This window comes from Homo sapiens, chromosome 1, assembly GCF_000001405.40.
Source record: "Homo sapiens chromosome 1, GRCh38.p14 Primary Assembly".
NCBI lineage: Eukaryota > Metazoa > Chordata > Mammalia > Primates > Hominidae > Homo > Homo sapiens.
Window position 1 is genome coordinate 71,858,280 of NC_000001.11, and position 19,131 is coordinate 71,877,410.

Sequence of the window (19,131 nt, forward strand, 5' to 3'; positions counted from 1 at the left end):
TAAAACTCAGATCTGTATCATTTAGAATGCAGTTTGCAGCTATTCCTGCAGGTAAGTTTTAAAAGCCACTATGGTTTTTGCATTAGATTAAACAGACTGCCTACAGAGCAATGCATTTGTGTAGCCGTCTCTGAACTCATCAAGAAAAACCTGAACTTCATGGGTTTTAATGGGAAATAATTATTACAGTGGAACCTTGCTAATTCATGATAGTGATGGAGAGTCCTATATTAAATTGCCAAATTTCTCAGTGATAATTGAAGAAAAGTAAAGAGAATCTAAAGGAACTTAGCTGATATTTTCCCCGTTTTTCAGACTGCCTACTTGTTCTCAATGGGACATCAAATGCAGGCTCCTTATGGAAAACAAATGAACAAACAAAAACACATTTAAATCTTAATTACTAAATACCTAATGGCTCTCCCAGCAGATGGTTATTGGGGAAAAGTTATGTAACACAAATATACTTTCATGAAAATACAAAATAATATTTTACTGCATTTCAAAATATCATTTAATTGCCCTAAACTGAATACAAGCAGTATTTAGTTGAATATCAGCCCTATATTATTATTTTTGTGGTTTTTTAAAACCAAAAATTGTACCTAAATATAGCATTCCCCACCAATGCTGCTCCTATTTTCCAAGTCCCCATTATCTCATGCCTGGTTCCCTGTAACTCTTACTAGAAGGTCGTTCCTCCCTGATTTTGGCTTTGTTCCCCATTGGTGTGTTATCAAATCAGCAGTGGAAGAAAATCCTGTTAAATCATATGTCCTATGTCACTTGGTGTTCACCCTCCAATGGCTCCCCAATTCACTTAGAATACAAATCAAAAACTTCTGATGGCCTGCAAGGCCCTGTATGACTTCTTGATACCTTTTGCCCCCATTCTTTGACCTCCTACTTCTCTCTTTCTTCCTCACTCTGCTCCAGGACATTGGTCTCTCTGCTGTTTCCAGAACATTCTGAGCATGCTCCTGTCTCAGAGCCTGGGAACTTCCTCTTCTGTTGGTCTAGTATGTTCTTTCCTTAAACGCTGCATGGCTTGCTCTCTCACCACCTCTGTGCTTTACACAAAAGTTACTTTTTGAATCAATTGTCCTCTGACCATTCTCTCTAAAACACATCCTATTCCTCTTCCACTTCCTGGATTTACTTTTATTCATACTAATTTCTAGCATCTAACCCAGAAGTCTGCAGACTTTTTCTGGACAGACACACACTGTAGAGTTTTGGTTGCAACTGCCTCTGGGTTTTGTAGCACTAAAGCAGCCATAGACAATAAATAGGTAAATGAAAGAACATGACTGCGTTCCGATAAAAATGTGTTTACAAAAGCAAGCAGTAGGGTAGATTCGGCCTGCAGATTGAATTTGCTGCCCCTAGATCCAACATAGTATGCATTTTACTTATTTTACCTCCTGTCAGCTTCTTGCCACATTTGGGGATGTCAGCTCCGCTATCACAAGGGTTTTAGTTCACTGTTTTATCACCACTGTCTATAACCATACCTGGAACACAGATGACACTCAACAAAATTGTATTTAATTGTTCAGTAAAAGCTTTTTATTCATCCATCTAAATATCAAAGTAACTGTTCCTGAATGAGGACATTAGCATTAGAGAACCTCTCATTGCACCTCAGAGAGAGTGAGAACTTCTCTTGGAGAACAACCCAAGGACCATCTGCCATACTCACAATGATTAATAAAAGAAGAAGAGCTGCCAACAGTCTATTTCCAGACCCCTACTGCTCTGCAAATTTTTGCAATATGACTGAGCATTCCATTCCAAATTCTGCGAATCCAGGTGATACGTGACCCTGTTATCCTTACAAATGCACCAAGAAGCTCATAGCTTTATGGTATATGTGTTCTTGTGTGACTGGTAGAGGGCAGTCAAAATTCTCATCATTTAAAAAAAAAAAAACAACTATTCACAAAGGGGGAGTTTGTAAGAGACAATATACGCTTGCTTGCTTGTTTTATAGCATTTCTGAGAACATAACTTTGCAAGTACCTTACAAGGTAGGAGAGATCATTTCACAGCAGAGCCATACTTTTTATTACTATCTCTTTACAGTGTGTTTTTCAGCAATCTATTCACAATCTTTGCCCAGTAAATCTTGTGAATCAGTTGATATTGTCCAAATACAGTGGGAGGTCATTTTTAGACCACTTTATGTTTTGGGAAATTATAATTCAAAATTATTGTGTGTTTCATTAGAGTGACTCTGCAACTCCAAAGTCTAATAAAATTATGTTTGAAAAATCATTATATTAGAAGTCAGATTATCACAAAATACAATGATAGATAGTAAGACTTACCTTAAATTTACTGTGCAAAAAAAAAGTGAGCTTAGTTTGCTGGGGCTGATAAATACTAAAAGCAAAACAACATGAAGCTTAAATCACATTCTTAAGGAATTACAGAAGGATAAGTTTTAGAGTTAAAAAGTCTTTGGAGATTTAAATTACATCTCCTCTCTTATGTACAGATGAAAAAATAAATCCTTACCCAGAAAGGATAAGCAATTTCCCAAGTCATAAAGCATTTCTGTGGTTGGGAATAGTGAACATATGAGCATGAAAAAATTGGAGTTTATTTTTATAGAATAGCACATCTACATAATCAAGTTAAAATAGTATAATTGGGTATCCAATGTAACCAACAGTGAGAAGAGGCCATTGAGATGACAATTACTAGTTTGCTAACGATTAAAAGCTAAGAAGTTACTCTCTTTTAACTACTGCTTATTTTCATCTCACCATAGGGAAAAAGTTATTACCTGTAAATGACAGAATATTTTATTGGATCTGTATATTGAGAATAGTGTTTCAGATCACAGTCTCTGGAGCTAGCAGCCTGGATTTGCATCACATCTAATAACTGTATGATCTTGGGCAAGTTCCTTCATCTCTTTGTGACTCATATAAAATGACTCATATAAAATGATGACACCTACCTCCTGGAGTTGTCATGAGAATTAAATGTAAAACACTTAGAAGAGTGACTGGCATACAGGAAACACCATACACTATTATTACAATCTAAGAGAGGTGGACTGCACATCTCTTTGGAAGAGTTCAGGGTACTTCTGTACTTTTTCCCTAGGGGTAGTTTTGGTCCCTTCCATGGGCAAGGCTAGGAGATATTGAAATGCCTATATGCACTGCAAACAACTAAGACTAGAATCAGATTCCTAGACCCAAAATGCAGTTGTCTTCAGACTTATTTCTTTCTCATGCAGCTTCTTCAACACCAAAGAATGCATGAGAAATAAATCTGCATGCATCTCCAGCCTTGGGTTCATTAGCACAATTCAGTAAGTAATGAGAAAGGAATAACTTGTGCTAAGAAAGATGGCTAACCTTTATAAATAAACTGATTATTCGCAAGCATAAAATGAAATTAATTTTGGATTATTACAGGGGAGACATGAGTAAACTACAGTTATTAGGAGCATAATGCAGTCACATTAATTCAAGTTAGTGAGTAATTATCACTGTTTCCATTTTTCTTTTTAACCATTTAAGAGGTCTTACTCAACACAGTAGAACAGAATGAAACAGATTTCACTGTAAGAAAAGAAAAACCATGTATTTAGATGAGGTGGCCCCTGCCAGGAGACATTTAAAAAAAATCACACCATCTCTTCAAGGACATTATATACTTTTTGCACACACAGGAGTGAAAATCTGAAGAAATGATTTCATTATGTGTGACAGAAGACACAATATTTCTTAATGTGTTAGAGAATTTGTTTACATTTTCTGTGTATTTTTCCTAAATTATATGTAATCCATATTGTTTTTCTTTTCTTCCAATGTGAATAGTAATCATCTTTCTGAATGCTTATTATAGGGAGATCTTCCTATCATTAAAAACAAACTCTTTAATCTTCACAACATGCTGGCAAGTTTATTAGAAGACGAAATTTGAACAAAAAGAAATTAAGGACATAACTAAAAAGGGTCAAAAAAGGGAAGTGAACCTAGGTTTTCTGACCCCATAGCTGACACTCCTAACACTTTTTCTTACAAAGCTGTTCTCAAGTTATCATCCCATTGCCATTTCTAATAATGTCATCACTCGCCCATTTTCAAAAACATCATAAGATAACTACCTCACTCACTCCCTGTTTCCCTAGACATCTCTTACCCAAATCTGTTCTGGACTATTAGATATTACAAAAACATCACAATTGCTTCCTGAGGTAAATCTTGGCATTGCCTATAAGTTCCTTTGCTCTGCATTTGTATTAAGGAGTTGGTGGCTTTCCTCTCCATTCTGTGTATTGTCTCTTACTCTAGATTTTATTGCATCAAAATTAATTTACTGATATATTTCTCTGGCTCTAAAGGAGGAGTATATATTTTCTAGTGCAATGCTGGGTACATCATATGCCATCAAAAATACATTTGAGGGCTAATATCCAGAGTTTACAAGGGACTTAAACAAATTTATAACAAAAAAACAAACAACACCATTAAAAAGTGGGCAAAGGCATGAACAGACGATTCTCAAAAGAAGACATTCATGCAGCCAACACACATATGAAAAGAAGGTCAACGTCACTGATCATTAGAAAAATGCATATCAAAACCACAATGAGATACTATCTCACACCAGTCAGAATGCTGATTATTAAAAAGTCAAGAAACAACAAATGCTGGCAAGGTTGCAAAGAAAAAGGAATGCTTTTACACTGTTGGTGGGAATGTAAATTAATTCAACCATTGTAGAAGAGAGTATGGTGATTCCTCAAGGACCTAGGAGCAGAAATACCATTCATTCCAGCCATCTCATGACTGCATATATACCCAAAGGAATATGAACCATTCTGTTATAAAGACACATGCATGCATATGTTCATTGCAGCATTATTCACAACAGCAAAGACATGGAATCACTCCAAATGCCCATCAATGATAGACTGGATAAAGAAAATTTGGTACATATACACCATGGAATACTATGCAGCCACGTAAAGGAACAAGATCATGTCCTCTGCAGGGACATGGATGGAGCTGGAAGCCATTATTATCAGCAAACTAATGCAGGAACAGAAGAAGAAACACTACAGGTCCTCATATAAGTGGGAGATGACTGATGAGAACACATGGACATAGAAAGGGGAACAACACACACTGGGACCTATTGGGGGAGTTGTGGGAAGGAAGAACATCAGGAAGAATAGCTAATGGGTGCTGGGCTTAATACCTAGGTGATGGGTTGATCTGTGCCCCAAACCACCATGGCACATGTTTACCTATGTAACAAAACTGCATATCCTGAACACGTACCCTGGAACTTTAAATAAAAGATGAAGAAAAAGAAATATGTGAATACACAAGTAATTAGAAGCATTAATACTGGACTTACTTCTCTTTGTTTCGATTACAGTTCCTACACACAGTTATTAAGTTTCAAAAGCAGATGGCTCCTCCTCATTTGGGAATAGACAGTACTAGTGTTCCTGAGCGCCTTAGGGAATATAATTTTGAGTGGTCTGGCAACCACCCAACGTGTTGATTATACATAATGAACAAGAGGACTGTCCCTTATTAATAGAATATTAAAATATCATTTCTTAACATTCACTAGGTGTTAATTAGTTTATACATGTTATCTTATTGAATCTTTCCACAACATTTTAAGTTGGTATTTTTTCATGCTTTATAGATTTAAAAAAACTGAAACTCACCAAAGTAAGCAAATTGCCCAAAGTCACACATCAGAATTCATATACTATGTCACATCTCTGTGACTAGAAAATTTGTTTAGGTGGCAGTAAATTATATTTTCTCCCTTAGAGATGATGGGAAGTACTCATTGGTGAATTCCCCACATGGTTGTCAGGGGGCCGTCTTAGGGAGAGGTCGCCTGGGTCCACAGGTTTCATGGTACCACCTCTTGGTATCACTCATGCTAAGTGATCTGCAGTTGTTAAGACTGTACAGCTTATTCCACTGTGGAGCACACAGGCATGCAGTTCTTGGTCACTGATGAACCCTGTAAGGAAGGTTTGTCCTGCTCCCTGCTTAATCTCAACAGACAATGTCCCATGATATGAATGGTCTAGCAGTGGCTAGAGTTTAAACTTAATAATAGCATGTGTAATTTACTGGCTTCACTGCAATCTGATTACACCTAAAAATTAGAAGGTCATCAGAGAAAAACAAGAAAATAAATTTCTCTGTAAAAGAATTGTGACTAAAGTAATTTTTCCTGATACATTGATAAATGTTGTATAGTAGGTGAAAAGGTGGCAGATGGCATTTTTTATATCCTTAATTTATTGACATTAAGGGCCCTGCAGCCTTCAAAGCACCTTCATCTGACAGAAATTAAACAAAATTCCAAAGAAAAGGGCAACACAAGACAGGAGCTATTTCCAGGGCCAAAATAGAACAGGAACCACAACAATAAATAGAAAAATCCTTCCAATAAGCACACGGTAAATAAAACATCAAAAACACAAACAGAAGAACTCAATTAAAGCAGAAAAGTTCTCAGTATTCCCCTGAAGGACATAAATATTATTATTCATTATTTATACAATGCTGTAGATGCACATGGCTTTATACAGCAAGTTGAATATCATATGAGAAACAAAAAACTGTCCTTTCAGGTTTCTGATTTAGGCACACATGAAGAAGAAAGGGAATGTATAGGCTATTTTGAAAGAAGAGAGGTACACACTAAGAACAGTTCATTGAGGCAGTTTTTAGAGAGGACAGTTTCTAACAAGTTTTTCAATGAAAAGAAGTTCAAGGTGAGATCACATGCTGAATAAAATACAGAAATCAGTAGTAAGGATAAAATGATTAGAACTTCCCAGTGGCCTCCTGATTGCCATCTTATTTATTTAGCTATAAAGTAGATCATATCTGAAATATTTTCTTAGCCATACCTGAAGGTCTTCAGTAGAGCTTTTCTAACAATTGTGTAAGCATCTAATTCCCTGTATAAAAATCTATTTGGTTAGGCACATGCACACGTATGTATATTGCAGCACTGTTCACAACAGTAAAGACTTGGAACCAACCAAAATGCCCATCAATGATAGACTTGATAAAGAAAATGCGGCACTTATACACCATGGAATACTACGCAGTCATAAAAAAGGATGAGTTCATGTCCTTTGCAGGGACATGGATGAGGCTGGAAATCATCATTCTCAGCAAACTAATGCAGGAACAGAAAACCAAACACCGCCTGTTCTCACTCATAAGTGGGAGCTGAACAATGTGGGAGCTGAACAATAAGAACACATGGACACAGGGAGGGGAACATCACACACTGGGGCCTGTCAGGGTGTGGAGGACTAGGGGAGGGATAGCATTAGGAGAAATACTTAATGTAGATGAAGGGTTGATGGGTACAGCAAACTACCATGGAACATGTATACCTATCTAACAAACCTGCACGTTCTGCACATGTATCCCAGAACTTAAGTATATTAAAAAAGAGTAGAATGCCATTGCATTCTATGAATATCATATTAATATTTTACATATGCTTTTCTTGTTTCCAATTTGTGTCTCACACATAGCAATAAAGAACTATCCTTGCTAATAAAAAAATCTATTTGTATTTAAAATATCTTGAGTGGGTTCTGTTTCCTGTATTAAACAAAGACATATACATCTTAGACATGTCTTATGAATAACATTATTATAGTCCATTGTTCTTCTGTGTTGATTATGTTATTTTCAAACTGCCAACATTTAAAGTATACTATAATTTTCCCAATTCTGGTTTGAAATACCTTTCCTTTCAACTATATAAACAAACACAAAAAAAGCCTGTAACAAAAGACACCTTTCCCTTTACTTAAAGGAAATAATAATGAGGAAAGAAAAAAGGCAAGTAAAATGTCCATAGAACTCTTTCTTGGGTTACAAAAAAACTACTTGAATAATTTAAAAATCTCTAATTGAATAATTACAACTAAGAAACACAAGAAGAACAGTAAAATATCTCCTAAGTAGACCATTAGCAATTTAGCAAAAGAAATTCTGGTTTCAGAGGAAGTATTGGAATTGTTTTTGACATAATGTTCCATAACATATCATATTAATCCATTATAATGTCAGTAAGAATAGGCTAATCAAATAATAATGAAGACCAGACACTTTCCCAACCATTTAATTCTTTCAGCATTTCAATATTCAAAAAATGATAAAAGGCAATAGCTATTTTGAATAATGTAAACTGTACTTTAAATAATGACGTAAATATCTGACCTTACAAAGTTTTTCACATTTTAATTAAAATGACTGTGATATTAAATTGTTTCAGCAAAAATTTTTCCCAATATTTTGATCCTTTAAATATGCCACTGTGTAGTAATTCCATCAACATTACTGGTAGTTATAGATTCTGAGAGGACAGGGTAACTTTTATGTTTAGCTTGTAGTTGGTTTTATGGTCAGTAAATAATATTTATAAGGGAAAACCTAGCATATCTTAACAGCTGTTGTATGTTTTATAAATAAACGTGGTAAGAAGTGATAGTATAATGTGACGCTCTCTGAATGCAGTGTCAGAAGATAAGAAAGGTTCTACATCAAAAGCTATGAATTTATTAAGTTACCTAACCTCTCCAAACTGCAGTTTTTATCTCTGAAAAGTGGGAATGTCCCTACTTCCTTTTTGTTATTGTGATTAAATGCAACAGTGTAGAAGAAAGTCATTTGTGAGGCATAAAGATTATCATATAAGTACGAATATTATTGTGCCTTTGAAAGGGAAAATACTGAAAAGAAAGATACATTATCCTGGCCGGGTACTGTGGCTCACGCCTGTAATCCCGGCACTTTGGGAGGCTGAGGTGGGCGGATCACTTGAGGTCAGGAGTTTGAGACTTGAGGTCAGGAGTTTGAAACCAGCCTGGTCAACATGGTGAAACTCTATCTCTACTAAAAATACAAAAAATAGCCAGGTGTGGTGGCCCGTGCCTATAATCCCAGCTACTCAGGAGGCTAAGGCAGGAGAATTGCTTGAACCCAGGAGGTGGAGGTTGCAGTGAGTCGACATTATGCCACTGAACCGCCACCCTGGGCGAAAGAGTGAGACTCCGTCGAGGGAGGGGACGAGGGGATTCAAATCTACTGGAATGGATAGCATTAATCAAAATTGTTTCATTATTATGCTGTGTAGCAAATAATGGAGGAATTGGGGTTGTTTACATTACAGAAATAAATACTAAAAAGATATTTAACAGTTGTCTTACAATATTTAAAAATTTGGTCAAATTGATTAAGGGGTAAGCTTCTCTTTTGGTGTTTGAGAGACTGATATGTCAACTAAGACTGTTATGATTAGAATTGCCGTACTATGAAATAGACTCCTGACCAAAATCATATACAAAATTTTAAAATTTGACCAATATCAGAAATGTAAAAAATCCAAAATATTGTATCATGTTTATTATTAATTAACTGGCTCAACCACCTCTACAATATTTATTTTCTATGAAGTAACTAGGTATTCTTTGCCTCTTAACATGATAGTTACTTCATAATGTCATTTTCTATAGAAAGAATATAAAGATTATGTTCCCTTTTCTCTTAGCAACACTGTTCAAATTTAATTTTATTATTGTTAGTTTTGGAAATATATTACAGCACACCAATTCATCATTGATTTTGTCCAGAAACTATTTTAGGATTATTATCAATTTTGGAAAAAGCTGTATTAATTTTCTATCAGATATGACCTGTTTGATATCAAGTCTTTGCTCTTTGAATTGAGGACACCATTAAACACTTTTTGGTCAATGTCTTCCTTTTAGTGGCACATACACGTTTTATATAATCTTTGTCAATGTCAGTATACCATGTCTAATCAGCAAGAAATATAAATCTCTCCAGCGTGTTTTTTAAATCTGCTACTCCTCATTACTTAGCACAATATTCCTGGAAAATATTCTCATGGCAATAACTGAAAGTAACTACAATACATGGAAACAAATGAATTACATTTAAAAATCCCACTAAATCTCAATCAAATGAATTCCCAAATCAATTTCCTTTTAAGTGGCCATTCCAATGTCTTCTAACACAAGGGAAATCATAGAAAGAAATAGCCATCTTAAACAAATGAGTTAACATACCTTACCTTAAATTAAATAGATAGATGATAGAAGATAGATAGATAGATAGATAGATAGATAGACAGAATACATACATACATACATACATACATACATACATACATACATACATGGATTTATATTATATAAATACTTTGCTAAAGTCACTTCCAGGAACTTGCAAGCTGTTCATACAAAAAAGGGCCCCTGAAGTTTAACTTTAATTACTTCATGGAAAATGCACTTTCTGTTACCAACTATCTTTCTAGGTGTTTTCTAATATCTTAATCATATCAAACTGCTTCTAGTGTATTGAAAGCTATATCCTATTTCTGAAACACACTTCTACTCCTTCCTCTCACTTATGTCTGCACTTTATATTCCTTCTTTCCTCTCTCACTGACCTAATACTCTCTTCCTCTCTCACTGACCTAATACTCTCTCTCCCCTTCCCACTTCCCACCTTCTCCCTCTCACCACTTTCCCCTCAAATACGCCTTACCCCCAATATGTATGTACATACTGGAAAACAGGCCCTTCATCAGGCTCTTTCCTCTTCAACCTTCATGATTTACAATGACCTCAATTTCTCCTAGGAATACATCATCAATTCCAAATCCTAGTTAGGAACACCTCCTGAGTGATCTCAAACATGCTCTGTGTTTCCTACACTACACCAAAAACTATAATTTGTTCATCTGCATCTTTTACCTGTTTATTTTCTGTGAAGGCAGAATCCTTTCATGACTTATTCATAGATTAATATTTAATACCAACTACCTGGATTAAATCTGTTGTTAGGTAAATATTTGCTAAATGGATGAATAGATTAGAGGAAGGAATTCTAGATGAAATTAAGTAAATGAGTTATTTAAGTCAACTAATACAAGTCCTCAAAACTTTGATTATATAGAGAGCTAAACTGATAAATATAGACAAATATAGTGAGCCTATAAATTAAAGCTATACTATGATGAAAAAATAAATGAATAATTGTGAAATAGCCAAAAATACTAAAATACAGCTATAAGGTTAAAAATAAATCTGAATAAAAAATGTAGGAGGGAAAAGTGATTACCTTACCAAAATTCTGGAAAACAGACAGATAGTCCATAAGGGAAATGCAATTAGTCTCACATTTATTTAATGTGATGGATACTGATTGCTAGATAAGGTTAACAGTGCTACACAAGGCTTGTTATTTTGAGGTAATAGCATATTATGGAAAAAGTAGCTAAACAGAGTAGAAGTTGGAAATTTTCCCAAACAATATTTGTATAGATAAATATTAAAACATAGTAACAATCATATGGAGTATATATTCAAGTCAAAAGAAAATAATTGCTCTAAAGAATAATTATTATTTTGACTTCTTATTTTTCACTTTCACTTAATACGGAAAATACTAACATTTTTATGATGATCTGTGATATTTAACAGTGGTCTTAATATATAGTAATGAGTTGCTTAAACATGTTTGGATAGCTTTTCTTTCTTTCTTTTTTTTTTTTTTTTGACAGAGTCTCCCTCTGTCACCCAGGCTGGAGTGCAGTGGCATGACTTTGGCTCACTGCAACCTCCACCTCCCGGGTTCATGTGATTTTCCAGCCTCAGCCTCCCAAGTAGCTGGGATTACAGGCGCGGGCCACCACAGCTGGCTAATTTTTGTATTTTTAGTAGAGACGGGGTTTCGCCGTGTTGGCCAGGCTGGTCTTGAACTCCTGACCTCAGGTGATCTGCCCACCTCGGTCTCCCAAAGTGCTAGGATTACAGGCGTGAGCCACCATGCCCAGCCTGGATAGCTTTTATGAAGTGTTTATAAATTGAGTATCCTGCAAGTATTAGGACAGTCAAACCAAATCACTTGCTTTAAACATTTTCAGATATTAGAATGTAGTATTGACAAAGACCTGCTACAAAAAGCTATAGTTTTTGAAATATCTATTATTTTTTATCTAAGGAATTAAAATAATTAACGCATAATTACGTTAGGGTATGCAATTTATAGTTATAGAAATGATCAGTGGGCTCTTCCTGGATATTGATGAAGTAACAGATAGTAGTTTGAAAAAATGACCATTGCTCAAAGAAAAACATCTTAAAAATTAGAAATTGGTGGATGACATTAAAAAACTGGCCTGTATTAAATTTATACTTTACTTGCACTACAATTACAGCTTGCAGGTGGGGAGTGCAGTTAAGTATAGCTGACTCATATTCCTAATTCCAGAATTTGGTATTGTAATATATTAAAGATTAAGTAATACTTTTATTATTCATTCTGTTACACTGTGTGAAATTATGTTGGCCTAGGGCTAGGTTGAAAAATCACAGACCTATGAATGTGACCATTATCTGGCTCTGTAAGTGTCTTTTTATTCATTCAAATCTGTGTGCTCAAATTTGAGTTCATATCACACTCATGAGATGTTGTTTTCATGAATGTGCTAACCTGAAGGGGTGAATGTTCAAAACACTGCAGAGCCAACATACACCCAAAATGCAATAAACTGCAAGATTTTGTATGTGCCTTGCCTTAGCAGAGTTTTGAAAATTCACCCTGAAGGCTAGAATACTTTCTTTGTAAGAATCTCAGCTTTCATACGAATACCTGGGGATAAGAGAACTGTGAGAAGCAAGCCTAATGGAAGTTAAATTCTATTGCAGGATTACATTAAGAAGGGGAGCCGAGCAGAAGTTCTTCTCTGTCTTTGAGATTGTTCTCCATCGTGTGTTAAGAATATCAAACTCCCTATTTATCATCAACGTTTCAGTGACTTGGGAGTGCAGAATATATCTTGTAAAGAAACACTTATGTAGGCTTACTAATGCAGGTGACATATTAGGCTGAGATGTAAAAAGACATAGCTCTAGGGGTGATCTCAGAAGCAAGTGACCTAGTCATTTTGGAAAGTCTCATCTCTGAAATTCCAATAGTTCTTCAGATTCAAAATCGATAGAATAGCATTTCTAGTAGACTTTTTGTGTGGACTACAATGTTTCAGGATAATATTGTCTTGTCAGGTCACCTCTTATCACACCATTTTAAATATCATGAGAAAAGTAAACAAAAGAGTCATTTCGAGCCACTTTTTCATGCGGCATCCCAGTTGTGGTGGTCACTTAATGTTCATTGCAAGCTCAAAATGTATATTAAGCAGCCCTGTCAGTTGCATACATCCTATACACCTTGTACATTTGTTGTTACTCATTAAACAGCATGCTTTATCTTGGCATATCAATACATGACAAGTTAAGCTGATCTGCACTAGACAAATTGATTCTGAAACAGGTATTGAAAGTTTAAATCAAATTGTTTTCACCTTCTTTACTGTCAACAAGATAGTTTTTATTGAGGCACAGATATATTGTTTTTTTATTTGTTTCAGAAGAAACTTAACTCTCTGTACTATCTACCTAGGGTCCTTTTTTCTATCAGAGCTCATTCATGAATTGCAGCTTCCAGTAACTTGAACACAAACAATCAATTTCTATTTGAGATTAACTGAAATATCAATTTATCCTTTCTAAGAAGAATTATGGGAAGTATTATTCACAGAGCTCCTCTTAATATTGTTTGCATAGAATCAAATACTTTCAGCAGACCAACCTTGGACTTTTAGGCTGTGCAATCTATAAAATTTAGTACTCTGGCCAGCTAAATAATACAATGGAATAAAAATAAATGATGACAACATAGGAGATGTCATAAAATTGGTGAACAACTATAGTCCATTCAATTGCTTAAAAGTTTCTAAATTAACCTTATGATAATATTATGATTAAATACTGTCTAAAACTTGCTTTGAAGAGGTGTTACATGCAGGAAGACAATGATGTTTCCCTCTAAGTACACCTAAGTGGTAGACTATGATTTTCTGAGGTGGTTTTGACACATTTTGCTGAACTAACTTCCAGTCTTTAGTTTTAGGTTTTCTAAGACATGGTTCTATAGACTATTCTAGGAATTAAAGGAGTAGTATTGTGTTGTAGACGTTAACTCTGTTCACCGCGTATTTCTGTGACAAGCCAGTTACAAGGGGCCCTGGAGGTATTATGGGCAAGGAAGTGTTGTGAACAGAAGTGATGTGTGCCACTCCCTGTTTAGGTGGAGAGCTTCTAAAGTGCTCTCCCTTTTCCCTCCAGCAAAGCATAATGTGGCTTCTCTGTCAGCCTGCATCTCTCAGTGACCATCATGAGCAAAGCGCCTCTATTCACCACGTTGGACATGCAACATGAGCAAGAAATAAAACTTGGTTATTTGAAGTCACAGAAAATTAACAGTGTCTTAAGACCACCATATAGTTTAGCACATTTTGACAGATAAAGGTTGGATTCATTTCAAATTCCAATAATATGCTGCTGGCCATACTGCTGAGAAGAGCAGTTTGTGTGAAACCCAAAAGAAGTAGGCAACAATTTATTGAAGTTAAGATTTTGATGGTACAGTAGCCAACATTACTGAAAACACTCTTTCTTGTTTGTTGCCATGTGGACATTGTTGTTCTCTCTCTTTTTACTTCATTTCTTGTTTATTTTTCCTACTGAAAATGGCATAGGAAGTTAGCGGAACCCACACTACCCTTAGACTTAACCGATGTTTCACACTCAAAAACAAAATGACCTATATTTTATGACTCAGACATACTATTTCTTGCTCTACCACTCAATTCCTAAACTGGAAAACGGTAGAAATTGGGAGGTATGTTGAAATTGAATCCCTAAAGATGTAGCAAAAAAAAAAAAAAAAAAAAAGACAAATAGAGTATTTTGAGGTTTTTGTTTGATTCTAATAGAAAAGTTCATTTATCTACATGAATAACATTTATATTTGCAAAGTAATTTGAGTTTTGGGTTTGGAAAACATATGTAAATATATAAATACATATATTAAATATATAAAGTCCATGAAAGAACATTATCTCTAAGGCTTGTTTTGCAGTGTGAAGTAGCTAAAATATTGGTTAACAAAACAAAATGTTTAAAAGGAGAAATTTTATTGTGGCATGGGATAGTGAAAATGTTTTGGAATAAAAATATTAGGTTAAGTTCCTGACCTGCAACTGGCTCGTTATATGACCCTGGACCAGTTAATGTATATAAAGTATTCTTTCCTCTCTTTAAAAGATAGGAAAATGACATCTTCCCTAATTCATAGCATTATTATACAAAATTAAAATAATGCACATAAAAACATTGTGCACTCTAAATAATCTATGTGCAAATATGCTAGAATATTCACACTTTATTGTTGTTAGTAACTTTTTCTAGTTTTCCTCTCGATTTACTCACATCTCTCCTTCTTTCCAAATAAATGGAAAAACGTTAGTAGACTATGATGGGTAATGCCACCAGTGAGTCAAGCTGTAGTGGGTGTTACTGTAATAGTTCACATTCATCATTGCTATAGTTGAAAATGAGCATTTGGATGTGGTTGAATAGTTCACATCAAAACAAAATCTCATCTGTATGACAGAAACTCTGTTGTGTTGGGCTTTGAACATAATCCAAGATACTCAAGACAGTAGCAAAATTAGGCATTTGGAAAAATCAGAGTAAGAAAGGCATTTTTCATGCTTATTTGCTTCAAAGGATGCTCTGATTTTGTTAATTGCCTGAAAGAGTGCTTCGATTTGCTATTTTCTACAAACAGTATTCTAATCTAGTTTATCCTCTGAGTTGCAGCTGTGTTCAAGTATCCTAATAGGTTTGGTGCATGCTGAACTATTCTTCTGCAATTAATTCACTTGGTTCTTCATGTGAAATGATTTACACCTATTTAGAATTAAATTGGAAGCCATTCCACTCTTGCTTATGAAGTTATTAAGACAGCTTTTAGATGACATTAATTTGCACTTAGTACCTTTTATCTAAGGATCTCAAAGCACTCTATGAAAGTGCATTATCATTAATGAAGAAAAATAGAAGAATCGAACACTGTATTTAGGAGTAATTTGCAAGGTAGGACATAAAATAAAAATGCATTCTTATTTTTAGTTGTAAAATAGTAATGGTACATATTATCTTCAGACTCAACAACACAACTTCTTATTTTCTCTCCCTGTCTAGCAAGGTTTGTGGGTCTCTATCTTCTTCAACTGCAAACTTCCACAGCCATTCATTCTCATACCTACAAAGCAACATCACCTGGGTTTTCTACTTTATGGTGTATCTTCTTCTCTATTATTAATGCCTGCTTTTTAAATATCCCAGCCTTACATTATTATTAGCCTGCTCTGAAAAGCAGTTAGGATGTGAATTTGCTTTCACTGAAGTGGGTTGAAGCCAGGCCTGATTCTTAGATGTGTTTAGCATCCTTAGATGTTCAAGTATCTTCAAATAAAAGATAGTTTACACTAAGACTTGATTTTCACTTAGTATCATGATATCACAAGTCAATGTTCTGTGGATATTGATTGCTGAGGAAACTTTTCGGTTTCCACAGCAAGTTTTTCTTTTTCTTTTTCTTTTCTTTTTGAGACAGGGTCTTGCTCTATCACCCAGGCTGGAATGCAGTAACATAATCATGATTCATTGCAGCTTCAAACATCCCAGGCTCAATCAATCCTCCTCCCTCAGCCTCCTGAGTAGCTGGGACGATAGATGTTCACCACTACACCTGGCTAATATTTTTAAATTTTTTCTAGAGATGGGATTTTGCCATGTTGCCCAGGCTGGTCTCAAAATCCTAGGCTCAAGCAATCAGCCCATCTCAGCCTTTCAAAGTGCTGGGGTTACAAGTTTCAGCCACTGTGCCTGGCCAAGTTTTTCGTTTCTATAAAAGTATACTTATATTACATCACAAATGCAAATATAAATAAAATGATACACCTTTAAAAATGCCAATCTTGTACATACAATTTTATGAGTTTCAAGAAAAATAAATCCTGGGCCCAATTTGTCCATTTTCTCTCTGAAGTGTTTATTTGCTTTAATTGTGCTGGAAAGTAGGTCTCTGATTAATACAAATGTCTTAAACTAAAACTTATAACTTGGGTACAGAATGATCCTACTTCTCTCTGTAAAAGCAGATATCTGGTCATTCTGAGTCTTTGGAATTTAGCCGATTCATGTTGTCAGTAGCAGTGGCATTTGATAATCAGGGCAGTTGAAGCCTTGCCTTTAACAGGGATGCTGAAACTGTTAAAAAAGTCTTCATGTGAATTAGAAAAGGTGCAGCTCAGTGATAGAAATTACAGTTTGATGTGCAGATACGGGCTAGATTTAAGATGTTACCTTACTCTTTCAGCCAGGCATCCCTGTGCAGCAAACAACCTGAACAATGGAATGTTTCAGTCCTGGTTTTAGATCCTAGAGACTGAAAACATCTGTATTTCAGAGGTCCTGCTTAACTACTTGAAACACTAAGCCTCAAGATTTTAATAAAGAATGTACTCAAATATCCAAGCTAACTAGGATCCTTCTCTGGAAAATGACTCTTCGCTTGAGTATTGTCTCTTTGTCTGTTTCTATTCAAAGTCAGAAGGAAAAAATGGAAAGGCTCGATGAAGATAGACCATTATATACAATCTTCATGGGGTTGTTCTTAAACCTGAGCTGTTTCCCATCAAATAAACCTAAAGTTATACTTCCAAACGTTATTTTTCTTATTTAGTCTTAATCTCTCCTCCACTCAGCTTCTGTACTCTGCTTCTCCACTGAAATTGGTACTATCTATGGTTGTCAATTTTTTAAGCTAATGAAGACGAGGAGCTCGGACTTCCTTTGGGAGGGCAGTCTTAAATTTTTTAACATATTAACTCTAAAAAACACATAGTTCTTGTATATATTATAGAATATTTTTCTTCGGAAAAGTCCAGTATAGTTCTATAATGTGCTAATTCCATGATTCTAAGCTAACAATATAAGAAACATAGGCAATTTGGGAGGCCCAGGAAGGTGGATCACTTGTGCTCAGGAGTTCAAGACAAGCCTAGGCAACATGGCAAAACACTGTCTCCACTACAAATATATACAAAAATTATCTGGTCATGGTTGCACGCTCTGGTAGTCCCAGCTAATCTAGGGGCTCAGTCAGGAGGATCACTTAGGTTGAGGTTGCAGTAAGCCATGATGAAGCCACCACACTCTAGCCTGGGCGATAGAGTGAGACCCTGTCTGAAAAAGAAAGGAAGAAAGAAGAGAGAGAGAGAGGAGACAGAGAGAGAGGAGAAGGAAGGAAGGAAGGATGGGAGGGAGGCAAGGAAGGAAGGAAGGAAAGAAGGAAGGAAGGAAGGAAGGAAAGAAGGAAGGAAATAAATTAGTCCACTATTAAGTGTTAACAGTATTAAGTGAATTCTTTCAGTTGGAGAGGAAAACTCATAGATTGGAATTGCCTGAGCATATATGTAGCATGTCAGGGAGTGGAAGAAACTGAAGTTTTTTATATTATGATCCCATATTAGGGCATTTGGAATCATAATATGTTCACTGATGGATAAACATTGCTTCTAAACTAAACTCTAAATTAGGAAGGATGAGTGATCGAATGAGATAAATCAGACCTCTGTTTTAGAATTCCCATGCTACCTGAATTTTGGAGACTGGGTCAGAATTAGAAGATACTTAGAGAAAGTATTACCTATAGGATGATGTTTGCAGTAGTTAAAAAAAAAATAGCAGTAATAGTGTGGATGGAAATAAAATGTAAAACTTGAGCAACAAAGACTGTACAGATTAGGAGGTAAAATGTGAGGGTTGCGAGTGGGAGCAAAGGATCAAAGAGCATTCAAAGCAAAGGTAGGTAGCACGACAAAAACAAAACAAAACAAAAAAAAAACAAAAAAAGGGTCTGAGAGTAAGGCAGGCAGCTCCATCTGGAGAAAAATCTACCAGGGAACCAGAACTAGTCATGTATGGCCTTAGAAGAAGGAGTAGCTATAATAATCTATAGGGACTATTAGTAGTTGGCTAGAGTTGCCATAACAAAGTTGCATGTACTGGGTGACTTAAACAACAGAAATTTATTTTTTTCATAGTTCTGAAGGGTGGAAGTCTGAGATCAAGGCGTGGGCAGGTTTGGTTTC

General features: G+C 35.5%; 1 protein-coding gene across 4 annotated transcripts in view, besides 1 other annotated feature; it reads right to left on the reverse strand.

The window, feature by feature from the left end:
• Positions 1-19,131, reverse strand: part of NEGR1 (neuronal growth regulator 1) — an 886,597-nt gene that overhangs the window by 462,337 nt on the left and 405,129 nt on the right. The gene's annotated exons all lie outside the window — the stretch shown is intronic.
• Positions 4,451-4,952: an enhancer, noted in NCBI's record as "NANOG hESC enhancer chr1:72328413-72328914 (GRCh37/hg19 assembly coordinates)". NCBI's record gives its function as "activates a minimal SCP1, AML or CMV promoter by ChIP-STARR-seq in primed H9 embryonic stem cells {active_cell/tissue: H9 hESC(primed)}" and the evidence as "EXISTENCE:reporter gene assay evidence [ECO:0000049][PMID:30033119]".